Consider the following 16,695-nt stretch of genomic DNA (forward strand, 5'->3'; position numbering starts at 1 on the left):
GTAAACTGGTTTCAGGTGAAAGATTTTTATACTATGTGGCTGATGTGGCTGTCTGTGTCCACACCTTGAATGTACCCGTTGAAATGTAATGGCCTGTATTTGATAAGGTTTCTCAAGTTAATAACCTATAAATACTGCTAGCACAATTAAATGGTGGCTTTGAACTAACTGGAGCACTCAGTCTGTCTTGGTGAATTTGCAAAGAGGCTACCTACATACATCTTTCCTCTAAGCTTCAGATTAATCAACATGACTGCTTATACGGTTAAAACATTCTGTGTTTCCTGTATTTGCTGGCTAGACAAAGGGTTTATTTACACTGTGGTTGCTTGTTTGTTTGTTTTTTACTTTATTGAGCCTTTTTGTGATTAGATTTAAACAGTATAAATTGGGAAGCTGGGGGAAACAAGGCAGGGAGAATAGAGAGCTACAAGGATTGAGTTATGATTCTGACCCTTCCTGATGGTTCCTCATCCCTATCCCCTCTTATCAGTAAGCAGTAATGGCACATTTGACCTTTATTTAAATGAACACACCAAAACAGAGGACAGTATGAAAACTATGACTGTGTCTTATTTACCTTTGCACCCTCACGACTTGGCCATGTAGTTAGCAACCTAATGAAAGGTGTTTTGGTGAAAAATAAACACACTGCTACCATCCTGTACTGCATCATCCCCTGAAAGCCCAGAGCACAATACGAATCTATGTATTTTATTTTATATAAAGTCTCTATTTTCAAGCATTATCATCAATGATAGCTGTACAGCTCTAAATAACATTTCACTGTTCACATCTAATGGACAACCATCAAGGGGGTTGTGGTTTATCATTCACAAAATGAATGTTGTTGTTAATTGCACAGATTTTTATCACTATAGCCACTTATGAAATAATTCAAAATAAGATTTATCAGATTTTCTAAGAAGGGCAGCTATGGAAGGGTCCCTTTGCTTGAAATAGACCACAAATGAGGTTGACATGAAGAATATTCTCGCAGATGCAGCCTGGAAAGACAAGTAGTGCAAGTGAACTCATTAAATTTCACCTTCTCCTCCTCCTCTGCTCTTCTGCTAGTTCTGCTTTACTTAACATTTTGAATATTTAATGATATGCTAATTTTCCATTCAATGTCATATTCTAGAGAAAATTTTACAGAAGTCATTCTACCAATGTTTAAAATAAAAAAGGGTATTATTTGGGAAATTTGTATTCTTTGGGATTATTTTAAACCGCAAAAATTGTTTTGTTTTGTCTGTGGACTTTTTATGTTTAAAGGTGGTGACAACGACTAATAATGCATTCATATTTCTTTCTTCTCAAATTTCAGTTTTAGGTAGGAGGAGAAAAATAAGATTTCACTGGGGAGAGAGTCAGCAAAGTTGACATATATCCTAATTACTTTGATAGCATGTTTTGAACATTTATGAGGTAAATTTTTTAAGAATTCAAACACATAGGGAAAGGATTGTCTCAATATATGATAAAAAATTACCACTGGCCTATGATTTAAAACTTTCTCATTTTTATGTTAGTCTAAGCCCCCCAGGTTATAAATAATATTTTCCTCAAAACATAGCATTCCACTTAAATTCATACTCACTTAAGAATTTTTCCCAGCACCGTTGGACCTGGAGTGTCTTGGGAAAGAAGAATTGGTAACATCTCAGAATGTTAGAGCTGAGTGAAACATTAGAGATCGTCACATCTAAGCCCTAACTTTATTGGCAAGAAAATAAAGGCCAGAAGGGTGTTGGGGAGAAAGAGGGAAAAGCCGTTTTTCCATGTCACTCATGTGGTTGATATGAAGAGAAAACTATAGCCCATCTTCTGTGCCAAGTTGGCTAGTATTCTGGTATACAACTTTTTGGTTACAATACATTTAAAACAAATTCTCGTCTAACTAACCACAACTCTTGCTTTACAAAATAATGTACTTTTGTATATAAATCTGAGTGACCTATAACCCTACACTCAGTTCTCACCCTGTTATGGATTTTATATCTACCTCTTGTAAAGGTGGTGTGGGGTGGCTGAACATAGTAAATATAAAGTACATAAAGTCTTTTAGAACAAAGGTTTTGCTAGTTGAAGCAATTTTAAATGTTTCAGCTAATAGGAACTATAAAGATAGAAAGATGAACAGATTCTGAAATTTTACTTGTATCTATTCTAATGGAATATGTGTCCTTGACAGGTGTGTTTGCTTCAGTGATAATTTTGATGGGCTAGTGCTTTCTTCAGGAAATAAGATAGGTCTTTTCCCAAGGTTGCCTCATATTTAAAAATACCTCCCCAACTGAAAGCGATGAGAAGACAGTGTGTTTGGCAATATGCTAATTGCTAGTTGTTTTCTTTTTAGAAAGTGAGACTCATCTGTAGGTGGGAGAAAGGGAACCTAGAGGTATGGGTGCAGCTGCAAGTGAATTAAAAGAGAACTCAGAGGTGGGTAAAGCAGGTAGAGGGAACCTTTAAACTCTGGGCATGACCTACTACACGTCTGCTTTTAAAGAGTCGTATTATCAGCATTTTCACAATTACCCCACTCATAGTATCCTACAGCCTCATCCCAATATTCTGCCCTTGTCCCCAGCTGTTCCGAATATAAGCCCTGGTGAAATCGCGACAATAAATATCCTTGTAACTTCTTAATCTAGTAACTGAAAGACAGCATTTATTTGTTTAACATTTACTGTTATTTCACACAGGCTGAGCATTTGTTATCAGCAAAAAGGATTCCAGTAACATATAAGGTGTAAAGTGATTTGTAACAAATTAATGCCAAAAAGCTGGAAAAATAATTTCATTTCCAAGTACTTTGTAGCTTCAAACCTCAGCAGAATTTTAAAAACTTATCAATTAATGTAATTTTTATTTGAAGAATTTATTATCTGAATAGATCTTTGGATTCAGGTCATTTCCCATATGAATGACGCCAGCTTTTTCCTCTTAACCATTCTCAGTTATATCTTAACAATATTGGCAAAAAAGCATAGAGACCACGTTATTAAAATTTTTAAAGCATTGCATTTTAAAGACTTTTAAAACTAGCAAATAGAAAAAAATCAAGTACCTCTTACAACATTTATTTTAATATCCTAACGTATAGTCATACATTATATATTCCTCAATATATTTTATTTTAGAAAAAATGTAAGTAAGCCACAAACCCAGAACTTGCCAGTTAGTTATATTTAGCATGTTTTCCATGTACTAACTTGAAGCAGAAAACTGGTTTTCAACCAAAAATATGATTTTATGTGTATACTTTTTCTCAAACACGTCAAACTTTGAAACATATTTTGCCTCTTCTGTTTAAAAGAGCACAGTTGAAGGGAGTACTCTTTGTCTTGACAGCATCTGGCAAATCATACATTTTTAATTACTAATTTTTGATCAGATGGGGGGAAATTTTCATCTAAAAAACGTCTCCGGGGTTAATCACAGATATGTCCTTGATCTTATATTGGTTTAAATAATATAAAAACCAAAGACAGAAATCTAGGATAACTGTCGGGATGTTTCTGCCAATCACAGTGGTCCAGCACCATCCAGTTAAAACACGTTCACTCCCACAGGCCTCAGCTCAATTATCCCAGGAAATTCTGTCGAACTGCTAAAAGGAACAAGAGATACAACTGTGTTGGAAATGTTCTAATTTCCCTTTTAATCCTCTCCCTCTATCTCCTTCTTTACCTTTATAAGATAATAGTTATGGAGGGGAAGTGGCAGTAGTGCTGTAAGGAACCACGCAATAGATTGAAGTTCAAGGCTTCTCGGTTTAAATCACATCTCTGCTAACAACAACTCTGAGATCATTGCAAAATTACTTAGCCTTTTTACAAGCTAGTTACTTCCAACTCCCTCATCTATAAACATATGAGGTTGGACTAAATCTCCAAAGCCTTTTCCAGTTCCCAAACCCTGTAATTCACACTGCCCATAAAAAATAAATGTAACTCTGGGATGTTCATTTTCTAAAGTAAAGTTGTAAAGAGTCTGGACTTTTTTATTAACAAATGCCAGAAGCTATATGGAACTTTGTGGGTCCTCAATAAATATCAAACAATCAACTTTATCTTTCATCTGCAAAATGGGGTGAGTAATGCTGACTTGTCTCCCAGAATTTCGTGTGAGAAATAATAAATGAGAACAAAGCACTTTTCAGATAATGAAGTAATTCGAATAAGCTGTTTTAATAAGTCTGCGGTCTAGATAGATGATGCAAGAATAAAGTGTCTTTTTTATTATTACATCTCTGAAATACAAGAGTCTTTTTACCTATTTAAGGAGAAACAGTCATTATCCTTGCTTATCATCAAAAAGTCAGCATGGGTAATTTCTGTGCAAATGGAATTTTTCATATGATTTTAACATTTATCGCTTTTAACACAATGCAGCTTTTATTCTTACCTGATATCAAAATGGAATCATATCTTGATTTAAATAGTTTAATGAGGCATTGCATCAGCATTATACTACTCTGCTCAATGAAAATGCTTTCTGAAATGACTGATAAGCTGCACAAATGAGAAAATTGTAAATTTGATAATCTTCCTACTCAAAAGTAATACAATTCAGGAACTGATACTCAGGAAAATGATATATTGCATTCTGGCTTCCTGGAGACTTCTACAGTATGGATTTTTTGAACGTTTATGTTCAGTAAATAATATGTTCTATACTTTTTACAGTGTTTCAACAAAAGACAGCCAGAAGACAATCTGATGATGACAAGTTCTGTGGTCTTCCTAAGAAACAAGGTACTAACACTAACTTCAATCTATTTAGTAATCTCTAGGTAAAATATCAAGAAATCTTATGAATACAGAGTAAAGCCTCCTAGGACAGAAGTATGTAATTGTGTGCTTTATAAATCTTACTCTTTTTTTTATTATTATTATACTTTAAGTTTTAGGGTACATGTGCACATTGTGCAAGTTAGTTACATATGTATACATGTGCCATACTGGTGTGCTGCACCCACTAACTTGTCATCTAGCATTAGGTATATCTCCCGATGCTATCCCTCCCCACTCCCCTCACCCCACAACAGTCCCCAGAGTGTGATATTCCCCTTCCTGTGTCCATGTGATCTCATTGTTCAATTCCCACCTATGAGTGAGAACATGCGGTGTTTGGTTTTTTGTTCTTGCGACAGTTTACTGAGAATGATGATTTCCAATTTCATCCATGTCCCTACAGAGGATATGAACTCATCATTTTTTATGGCTGCATAGTATTCCACTGTGTGTATGTGCCACATTTTCTTAATCCAGTCTATCATTGTTGGACATTTGGGTTGGTTCCAAGTCTTTGCTATTGTGAATAATGCCGCAATAAACATACGTGTGCATGTGTCTTTATAGCAGCATGATTTATAGTCCTTTGGGTATATACCCAGTAATGGGATGGCTGGGTCAAATGGTATTTCCAGTTCTAGATCCCTGAGGAATCGCCACACTGACTTCCACAATGGTTGAACTAGTTTACAGTCCCACCAACAGTGTAAAAGTGTTCCTATTTCTCCACATCCTCTCCAGCACCTGTTGTTTCCTGACTTTTTAATGATTGCCATTCTAACTGGTGTGAGATGGTATCTCATTGTGGTTTTGATTTGCATTTCTCTGATGGCCAGTGATGGTGAGCATTTTTTCATGTGTTTTTTGGCTGCATAAATGTCTTCTTTTGAGAAGTGTCTGTTCATGTCCTTCGCCCACTTTTTGATGGGGTTGTTTGTTTTTTTCTTGTAAATTTGTTTGAGTTCATTGTAGATTCTGGATATTAGCCCTTTGTCAGATGAGTAGGTTGCGAAAATTTTCTCCCATTTTGTAGGTTGCCTGTTCACTCTGATGGTAGTTTCTTTTGCTGTGCAGAAGCTCTTTAGTTTAATTAGATCCCATTTGTCAATTTTGGCTTTTGTTGCCATTGCTTTGGTGTTTTATACATGAAGTCCTTGCCCATGCCTATGTCCTGAATGGTAATGCCTAGGTTTTCTTCTAGGGTTTTTATGGTTTTAGGTCTAACGTTTAAGCCTTTAATCCATCTTGATTATCTCAATATTTGCAGAAAAAGCCTTTGACAAAATTCAACAACGCTTCATGCTAAAAAATCTCAGTAAATTAGGTATTGATGGGACATATCTCAAAATAATAAGAGCGTATCTATGACAAACCCACAGCCAATATCATACTGAATGGGCAAAAACTGGAAGCATTCCCTTTGAAAACTGGCACAAGACAGGGATGCCCTCTCTCACCACTCCTATTCAACATAGTGTTGGAAGTTCTGGCCAAGGCAATGAGGCAGGAGAAGGAAATAAAGGGTATTCAATTGGGAAAAAGAGGAAGTCAAATTGTCCCTGTTTGCAGACGACATGATTGTATATCTAGAAAACCCCATTGTCTCAGCCCAAAATCTCCTTAAGCTGATAAGCAGCTTCAGCAAAGTCTCAGGATACAAAATCAATGTACAAAAATCACAAGCATTCTTATACACCAACATCAGACAAACAGAGAGCCAAATCATGAGTGAACTCCCATTCACAATTGCTTCAAAGAGAATAAAATACCTAGGAATCCAACTTACAAGGGATGTGAAGGACCTCTTCAAGGAGAACTACAAACCACTGCTCAAGGAAATAAAAGAGGATACAAACAAATGGAAGAACATTTCATGCTCATGGGTAGGAAGAATCAATATCGTGAAAATGGCCGTACTGCCCAAGGTAATTTATACATTCAATGCCATCCCCATCAAGCTACCAATGACTTTCTTCACAGAATTGGAAAAAACTACTTTAAAGTTCATATGGAACCAAAAAAGAGCCCGCATTGCCAAGTCAATCCTAAGCCAAAAGAACAAAGCTGGAGGCATCACGCTACCTGACTTCAAACTATACTACAAGGCTACAGTAACCAAAACAGCATGGTACTGGTACCAAAACAGAGATATAGATCAATGGAACAGAACAGAGCCCTCAGAAATAACGCCGCATATCTACAACTATCTGATCTTTGAGAAACCTGAGAAAAACAAGCAATGGGGAAAGGATTCCCTATTTAATAAATGGTGCTGGGAAAACTGGCCAGCCATATGTAGAAAGCTGAAACTGGATCCCTTCCTTATACCTTATACAAAAATCAATTCAAGATGGATTAAAGACATAAATCTTACTCTTAATCTCACACAATATAATTTTGCCATAATACAATTAATACAAGAAAATTATTTTAATTAACAAAGGCATGAAATAACCTTATCAGAATGTTTGTGATAGTGTTGTCGATGTTATCATGAGGGTTCCAGGAAGGTCAAGTAAGAAAAATTATCTAAGATGCATCAGAGGCTGTGTTTTCATAGACCTATAAGGGAAGCCTCTGGAACCTAACTTGGTAGGAGTGGCAAATGATTTGATTCCTCCAAAGAAAGGGGCTAGCATGAGTTTTCTATGGTTTGCACTAAATGCCAATCAAAGACTGCATCCTTTTTAACTGTTCTCTTGCCTTCAGCACTTGATCTAACATTTCTTGAACAATTATTTGTTATGCAGAGAAGAGCTGAAAACTGTAGCCACAGAAACATCTTCCACAGACAGAATATTTTCTGCCTCCAGTTTTCCCTAAAATGTTTGTCTTCTGCTGAAAAGAAAGACTGTAGCAGATCATGTATTATGATTTTTTGTCTGACAATAAGGCCTTATTCAATGTTCAAAAATGAAAAACATTAAAGGTGGCAGAGGTAGGGGGTAACATTAGCTGCCCATGATAATGAATGTGTACATACAGGCCCATCTTTGAAATAACTTCAGTCCAAACTAATATTTCCTTGAAAATGGTGCCGGTAAATTGTTGAAAGAGACACTGGAATAAAACCAGGAAATTGTTTCACAGCAACTACTAACCACTCCCAGTCAGGCTCCTTTTTTGCCATTGTGAAGATGGCTGGGAATGGATTGCACCAAATTCTAACACCCACTGAACTATTAAATACAGACCTTCAATGGACCTGCTCCTAGGACATTATGAATCATCCTTCAAACAAGGGTGCATTCTTAAATGAGTGATCCTCACCCATCACTTCAAGTGGCATTTTTTCACAACAGCAAGGTGGTACTTAGATCATCTTCCAGTTAATACACGGTGTTTGAATGCAACACATGATGAAGCTGAACTTTTATTCTCTCATGAAACACTTTAATACACTGCTTGTAAATTTACATGCAAAAAACTCTTTATTTGACAGTTTTCCATTTTTAGTGATTTCATATTTAAGGAGAAAGATAGATCTTTTTTAAGTCTACTATTATCCTCCCACTGTGCCTTTAGCTCTCTCAAGAAATAAATGCAAAGCTACATGTAAGATCATTGTACAATTAGGATCAGAACAGCTACGAAAGAATTAAACAAAGTAGATAAGATTATTTCTACCTGGCCTCCCATACATACCTCACAGAGCTTTGGAAAGAATGAAGAGAGGAGATTTTTGGGAGAAAAATCCCTGAAGTGTTTTTCTTATAAATTATTCAATTACCATGTTTTTAATTAAATTATGTTAGAATTAAAGGGAAAATGCAAAGAAGGCCACAGGAGATGAAGAGAAATGACGAGTATCAAGTGTAATGAAGAGATCCTTGGAATGTTTGATCTTATCAGTTATCCTGGCTGTCCCACAGAGAGCAATGCAAGGAAGGGCTGCTAGTATCTGTTAAGCTTAGAAGAGCCCTGTCATTATTCTACCATGTATAGACAATTAGTACCCATCTGCCCACAGAAAAAGGGGAGGAGAGGGTGGTAAAGGGAAACGAGGACCTAATTATGCAATATTGTATTGATTACTATCTGTCCATATCTTGTTACCTAATTTGCATAATCAAGGTCAATTACCTCTAGATTTTTAAAAATTCTGTAGGGACTCAGATACTAACATTTTAATCATATTTTGTCTGTAATATTTTTTCTGTGTACATACTTAAATACAACTTATTGATGATATTTTTGATTAGTCATCTTAGAGCAGTTTCTTTAGATTCCTTTATTCCTGAACATCAGTAATGTACCAGAAGGGAACAGCATATTGTTTTATTTGTAAGGACTAAGGAAACATCAATCCTTATCAAATGTTTCTTTAAAAACCTCCCTGATGACTATAGTGTGCAGGGAAATCAGCAGTTAGCATGAAAACAAGATAATTTGGAATACTTAGTAATAAAAGAATTAAGTACCTAAATAGCTAACAAGGTTGATTTCATCCAACCATATTTCTCTAAACTGTTGCAGATATTATGATCATTCAGTCCATGTAACATACTATGCAATGAAAACTGCTTATTACCTAATTAATGAATATTCTTCAAATATCCTGGGATTTCATGGTGTACTAGGAAAAGCAGTACATACTTCACCAGTGATACTCTCTTTATTTGGTAGAACAATAAAAAGGGCCTTTTATATAATGTTTGTCAGAGGCAAGATTTTCTAAAGGGACTAGACAAGTTCTCTAAAGAAGGTAAAAAGGAATTATTATTTAACTCTTCCTCTATATGCTGGAGGGAAAAGGGATGATGAGAGCCAACTGTTTTCCCATTGAAAGTATAAGCATTTCAAGTGCACTAAGTTTAAGACTGGCAAGGGATTGCCAGGAAGTTACATTATTGCTAAGTCAAGGAATTTTCCTAAGGAAGAAAAAAATAATTAATTGGCACCATTTCCATGGAAACTCAACAGATTCTTCAACTCAGTTTCCACATTTTGAAAAAATGTAAGGAAAAATGCTGAGGACTTTGGATCACAGATAAAATTTTCCATCAAAACAGTTTTAAAGTCAATTTTCCCAATTTGGATTTGAAATTAGAAAATACTAGTGCTAGAAATTAGAAATTTCTAGTCAGAAAACTGCATTTGCCAGTGTGTTTGGAATTGATCAGGATTTTGAAGTCTGGCTTATGTTATCGAAGCTCACAGAGGACTGATTCATACCCCCAATTCCAATCATTAAACCTATAATAAGGGAAGATGGCTTTCCAGTGACTGGATTGCTTGCATTATTTGGTCTCTGCCAGATAATAAAGTTTCTATAAAATATACTTAGTCATTAGAAGATTTCTAAGTGAACATGATCAAGTCAAAAATGTTGAAAGAATTTAAGGGCTCCTTATTCAAAGATGGAAATATCTGGCTAATTTTCCTTGTTTTACAAAATCATATATAGTCTAGGGTCAAGTTTGTTCACATCTTGGACTGTACAGAAGGGCCTTTTCTATCTATATCAAGATCATCCCCATCTTACCGTGGATATGACACGTGGCAACTGATGAGGTTCAAGCATTCTTAACAAGCTGCCTCCCTGTAATCATAGATTACATCCACAGATCTCCTCAGCCATATAGTCAAATGAACCTTATCAAGGGTGTGTTGTTGCTCTCACTCTTAGAGGGCAAAAGGGTAGTGTAGGCAGCTAGGCAGACACGAGCAGGGCAGGAGAGGGCCACCCACCCAGGAATGTCAGACGACCACCAGGTGATGGTTAGGTAGTTGTTAAACTGTCTCTTTAAAACCGTAATTGGTCACAGCCAGTGCCAGTGAAAGGCAGTCTCTTAATAGACAGAAAACACCTGAAGCTGGTCATCAGCAGCTTCCCAGTAAGATCGCAGGAGTTGGGCAAGTGGGCGCAAGCATGTGCACTAAGAGGCAAAATGGTAGGGTTTAACTGGTATGTGACTTTTCTCTAGGAATGCTCAACTGGTAAGGGAAAAACACCTAAATGAGCATATGCACAACTTCAGTAAACATACTGCACATGGGCTCCTCCCAAGTGCTGGCAGGGCTCTGCGTTTGCAGATAGCCCACCCCAAGGAAAAACCAAGGGAGGAGAGACACTAACCCCATAACCATACCAATGTTTAAAACCTCATGTCAAGTGTTGAACAGTGCACTTGGATCTCTCAAGTTGCCCACTTGGCCCTCTTCCAAGTGTACCTTAGTTCCTTTCATTCCTGCTCTAAAACCTTTTAATAAACTTTCAATACTACTCTATCTAAAACTTGCCTTGCTCTCTCCTGTGCCTTATGCCCCTCAGCTGAATTCTTGCCTCCAAAGAGGCAAGAATCAAGTTGCTGCAGATCTGTACGGATTGGCTGTTGCTAACAAAACCATGTCTTTGAAGGGTAAGTTTCTGTGGGTAGGAGGAGCACATCCACCCTAACCAACTGCCTATACCAGTCACTTCCAACTCTAGATGAGCATAAGAATTATTTGCAGAGCTTTTAAACTTTGGTTGCCTAAGCCCTATCTTAGATATGGACTAAAAGTCGAATAGATGAGATAGTAATCAGCAATAATCTCAAAATCAACATGTGAAAAAATCCCACCAAAAGAAACTATGTTTCAGAGACCACATGTGGTCAAATTTAGCCCCTAAGTAAATTATATTTTAGCAATAATCCACACAATACAATTTAAAACTTTTGCCAGCATTTAAGACCATGCTTCCTGAAATATTCAAATTTCCAACCACTCCCTATTATATAAATGTATAACTTGCAACAAATGACTATTACCATTTGTTATCATGCTTTCTGTGTTGTTTTCTTATATTTGGAACACATTTCTCTAAAGTCATAATTCTATCAAAAGTGAGTAAAGGGATATAGAGTCAGGTTATGAAAAAAATGAAAGAACATTTATTTTTGCTAATGAAAACTATTCAAATGTATTTAATAAGCAGGTACTAAATATTATTTGCTCAGTAATTTTATCTGCATGGCCCCTATAGTTTATGAGCTTGTAACCCCTAGTATAGTCCCTGCCCACCAATTCCTCACTCGAGACTACAAAATCATTATTGGCTGGTCTTTTGTAGGGCAGGAGTGTGCCTACTCATGGGAAAGAGGTAGTCAGGCAACATATCCTTTCTGTGTTCTATAAGTGTGCATTGCTGTAGCACTTTGATAAATGTTAAATAATAAAATTGTCTAGAAGCAGGAGACCTGGAGAAATGGGGAAGATATTACCCTTACATGGGGAAAAGAGAATGCTGATCTCTGAGGTATTTTCATCAGGCTGTTTTTGCCAGTACTGGATATATTAAACAGAAAAGAGGGAAAATTGTCAAAATGTGGTCATTTGTACTCCATAAAAGAATAATGGCCTCAGTTCCCTTTTCCAGTATACTTACATTTCCATTTGTCATATTGCTCACAAAAGTTTTTTGTTGTTGTTAAAGTCATACCTTGAAAATTTTGTGTAATAGCTCAGTTTTTGTCTAAGATAGCAATATGTTCGCAACCCACAGTGTTGTCTCTCAGAAATGAAATCAAAGCACACACAAAAAAGATGAAATTCTTAATAATAGGGAGAACAAAGACTGGAAAATAAGCTTACTGGAATCTAGAACTAATTCTAATTAATTCTAAGGTTGAGAAAAGTTAATTGAGACAAATTAAAAAATCAGTAGTCTACCCCTACTGTCTATGAAACAAATCAGTCCTTTGCTCATAATAGGAGGTAGAAAGATATTTAATCCCTCCCTTACCTCCTGACCCCAGCTACCTCTCTGCTACATAAATGTTAATTTTTACAAGTGCTCTGTGTCCCAGCTCTGATCTTTCCATATACATGCAGAAAATATTCCTTCCAGTTGAAAGTGGGGGTAGGAGGGTAATGCTACACTTGGCTGGTCCTGGGACTCTAAAGTAAAGCTCTAAAATGGAGGGATGGGAAGGTCAAGAAGTCTGTTAGAAATTTATGCATGGACTTAGATACATAGTGCCAGGGAATCATGTCCCGCCTCTATCGTGGCAGCTGCATTAGACAAAACCTGCTAAATCCTGGGATCTTGAGTTGCGAACTGCACCTATTAAAGTTTTCTGCAGTCCCAGGAATTTGACCTGAACACAAGGAAAGAGCCAAAGGACACATAAACACCAAAAGCCTTGGTGAACAATGATTCCATAGATGTGTTCTTTTTTTCTTTTTTTTTTTTTTTTTTTTTTTGAGACAGAGTCTCGCTCTGTTGCCAGGCTGGAATAGAGTGACACGATCTTGGCTCACTGCAGCCTCCGCCTCCCGTGTTCATCCGATTCTCCTGCCTCAGCCTCCTGAGTAGCTGGGACTACAGGCGTGTGCTACCACGACCAGCTAATTTTTGTATTTTTAGTAGAGATAGGGTTTCACCATGTTGGCCAGGATGGTCTGGATCTCTTGACCTCATGATCCACCCACCTCGGCCTCCCAAAGTGCTGGGATTACAGGCATGAGCCACCACGCCAGAAGGATTAAAGATGAGAACAAACAAGTAATATGAAAAGTTCATAAACTAAAACTACTCCAGAAGAAGGGAAGGAGAGTTTTTTTTGTAAAGACTCAGAATAATTATACTTCTGTTAATGATTTATTTATTTAATGAGTAAGGTTGCCAGATATCATATCAAAAGCACCAAGCTATCAACATGGAAATAATGGGAAATACACACACACACACTAAGCACTGAGCATTTTTCAGCTAACAATTCATAACTGCTTAAATATGAAGCTTTTTATAAATATTTTAACTTTTTCAGAAGTTCTAAGGCGGTATGTGTTAATTTGAACTTAAGTGTCCCACTTTCAGGTTCAGTACTAGGCAGTTGGCAACAAAATGCAGGGGCCAAAAAAGAAAATGTCAGAAAAGTTTGAACTCATAAACAAATGGAAAATATGGAGAGGAAATAGCAGCAGAAATTTGAGGTTAGGCTGAGATGAAAGCAAAATATGTGAAAGACATTTTAGATGAGATACCAGAATGAGATTAAACATGCGACATGAAGAAAAGGTATTGACAAGAGGAAGTATGATAAAAATAAAATAAACTAAGAAGCTAAAGTTTCAACAGCAAATTAAAATCCACATTGGTCACAACAAAAGGGACTCACACTAGGTGAAAATAAATCAGTGACGTAGAGAACATATTGAAGAAGGGTTTGTTCTCAGTACATGGAAAGACCGAAAACAGTAATAAGATGTGGAGAACAGAGATACAACTCAAGTATGACAGGTTTTTAAAAACTAGAATAGAAAATACGATCAATGACTTTATTAAGCTAATCTTTGGAGAAGTGGGAAGCTGGAGGATGAATAATGCAGATTGAGTGGGCTCACTATGAGACAGGAAAAAGTAAGGAGAGTTGCTCATGTTTAAAAGCACCCTAGCAAATCTTTTTGATTATAAGGAAAAAGAAACAATCTTAAAAGTATTGAGCAAGTACTTTAACTTACATTTTCTACTAAAATAAATCAGAATCCATTAAAAAATTAGAGAATCTGTGTGACAGAAACTTGAGATAATGGACTACCAAGTTTATTTGAGAAAAAACTTCAACTTAAGAAGTTTATATTTAGTCAGGTATTTTGCTCATGTAAGAAGAAAATAAATATAAGAATTTTTGGATATCCAAAATTTTAGAGAAGATAGCCATTCTGTCATTATGAAAGTATTAACCAAAACATATTCTAACCAATGAGGAATTAAACAAAATAAAAAGCTTAAAAAGAAATTACATTATTAAAATTACTGAAGTAAACTTAAATAATTATTGTAAATTTATTTATAAGACATGAATGTAAAATATTGGTAATAAAGAAAAATACGTAATGTAACATAATTATTGCTAATTTAGTAGCAATAATCTGGTTACAATGACCAAATAATATAAAAATACTTAGGAACTAGAAAAAAATGTTTTTTCATTCATTACTTTATTAATAAAAAAAGATAAAAAATCTGAAATTTTAAAAAGTAACCACTACTTTCAAATTCCTTCATATATATGTATATATGTATATACAAATACATATATATGTCTTTATAACCACATACAAAACAAGATTATGTATAACAGCAGTCATCACAATAAATTCATATCAGTTAAAACATTCTCACAGAGCAGTAACAGTCATTGAGGACAAATGGTGCTGTGTTAATCATCTGCATAACGATAGTTCATTAAAACCTCAAAGATATCTTATGAGATATTATTTTCCTTTTTAAAATGGATTGATTATTTGTAACCAAGGACACAGAGCTAAGAAATGGTAGAGGTGAAATTTGAACTCAATTCTGTTATACTCTGAAGGCCAAACTTGTAATCACCTTCTGTACTATTCACGTAATCGTATTAACAACTCTCACTACAACTTTCCTGAGCTTTAACAGAAGCCTGAAACACGACAAAGCACATTACATATATTAGCTCCTTTAACTCTTGCAACAACTCTGTTAGAAGGGGATTATTTACCTTCATTTTATAGACAAAGAAACTGGAGTTTACAAAAATGGAATGAGAAAGAGCTTTGAGCCCTCATCTACCTGGCTCCAAATACCATGTTATACAATCTCCCTCATAAAAAGATACAGACTGAAATGTGGACAAAAGACTGTAGCGGCAGAAAAACTCCACCTCTATCTTCTTAGGATACCAGCCAGGACTGAGAATTAAATTGATGTAAAATAGATTAACAAGAGAAAAGCATAATAGTTTCACATGGCACTGGAGTCCTCAAAGAAAATGAAGACTCAAAGAAGCAGTTAGTCGGTTACTTACCTACTGAATTAGACAAGAATAGTAAACTGTGAAAATGGGGAGGCTTAAAAGATAAGAGTTATTCTACCAAGGTCTGTACAGAATTCTTTTAGTCTCAACTTCTCCTCTGTGAAGATAAGGATATTGCTTTTCCTTCTTGTATAGAGTGAGTGTCTTTACCGTGGGAATTTAGTCTTCTGCTTTTGGGAAACAACTGAAAGGTCAGAATCATCTTTCTTGCACCTGCTTTTTTTCAATTTAAATAGTTGATGTGCCAGAGTGGTATATTTTTAACTTCTTCAAGCCAAAATAAAACTATGTTCTGCTTTAAAAAGATACATCCCCGAAAATACCAAGGAAATACTCATTAATAAAATTATGTCAAGTGATAAATAAAAAGTAAAAATATCACTAGACTAATGACCAAGGAATGTTTGTATACATTTTTAACTCAATAGTTAACCAGGATAAGTTTTGCCAGTGAGTTATTTCAAATTCAAATAAGAGAATTTTTATATTATATGAACCATCTCATGGAGTAGAACTATTAATGTACTAGTTATTTTATTTTAAAAAACATGATGATTTCAGTTGATGAAAAAGACAAAATTATAGTTCAACTATTCATAATTTTTAAAAAATCTTATAAAATAGAAAGAGAATAATTTCTCAACATTATCAGAAATTTCTTATTAGTTCAGAAGTAGAGGTATTCGTGTTAGGGATAGAAACAAGATAAGGATGCCTACTATTAATATTTTTACTTACCATTATCCTGGAAGTTTCTAGCAACTGCAATAACATGCATCTAAAATAAAACGTGTAATTATTGGGAAGGAGATACTTTCTCCATTATTTTTAGATGATATACGTACATGCCAGAAAACCTGAAAACATCAACTATAAGACTCTTAAAAATTATTTTAACTAGCTGGATATAATTAATACATAATTCACTTTTTTATATACCAGAAATATTAGTTTGGCGACATCATGAAAGAAAAGAAATTATTCACTGTAAATTCAAAACATACACAAAAAGTACCTATTAAAAAGATAGAATAATGCTATTTTCCTAACGGGAAATTAAATCCTCTCAACTCTTTCTATAATAACTTATACATGTAAGGGAATCCCAG

General features: G+C 35.4%; 1 protein-coding gene across 3 annotated transcripts in view; it reads left to right on the plus strand.

Moving 5' to 3' along the window:
- Nucleotides 1-16,695, plus strand: part of BANK1 (B cell scaffold protein with ankyrin repeats 1) — a 284,083-nt gene that overhangs the window by 248,415 nt on the left and 18,973 nt on the right. For all 3 annotated transcript variants that reach the window (NM_017935.5, NM_001127507.3, NM_001083907.3), the window contains one exon: nucleotides 4,695-4,763. In NM_017935.5, coding sequence (NP_060405.5) covers nucleotides 4,695-4,763 — 69 coding nt within the window. The remainder of the gene's footprint in view (nucleotides 1-4,694; nucleotides 4,764-16,695) is intronic.

Source organism: Homo sapiens, chromosome 4 (genome assembly GCF_000001405.40).
Source record: "Homo sapiens chromosome 4, GRCh38.p14 Primary Assembly".
NCBI lineage: Eukaryota > Metazoa > Chordata > Mammalia > Primates > Hominidae > Homo > Homo sapiens.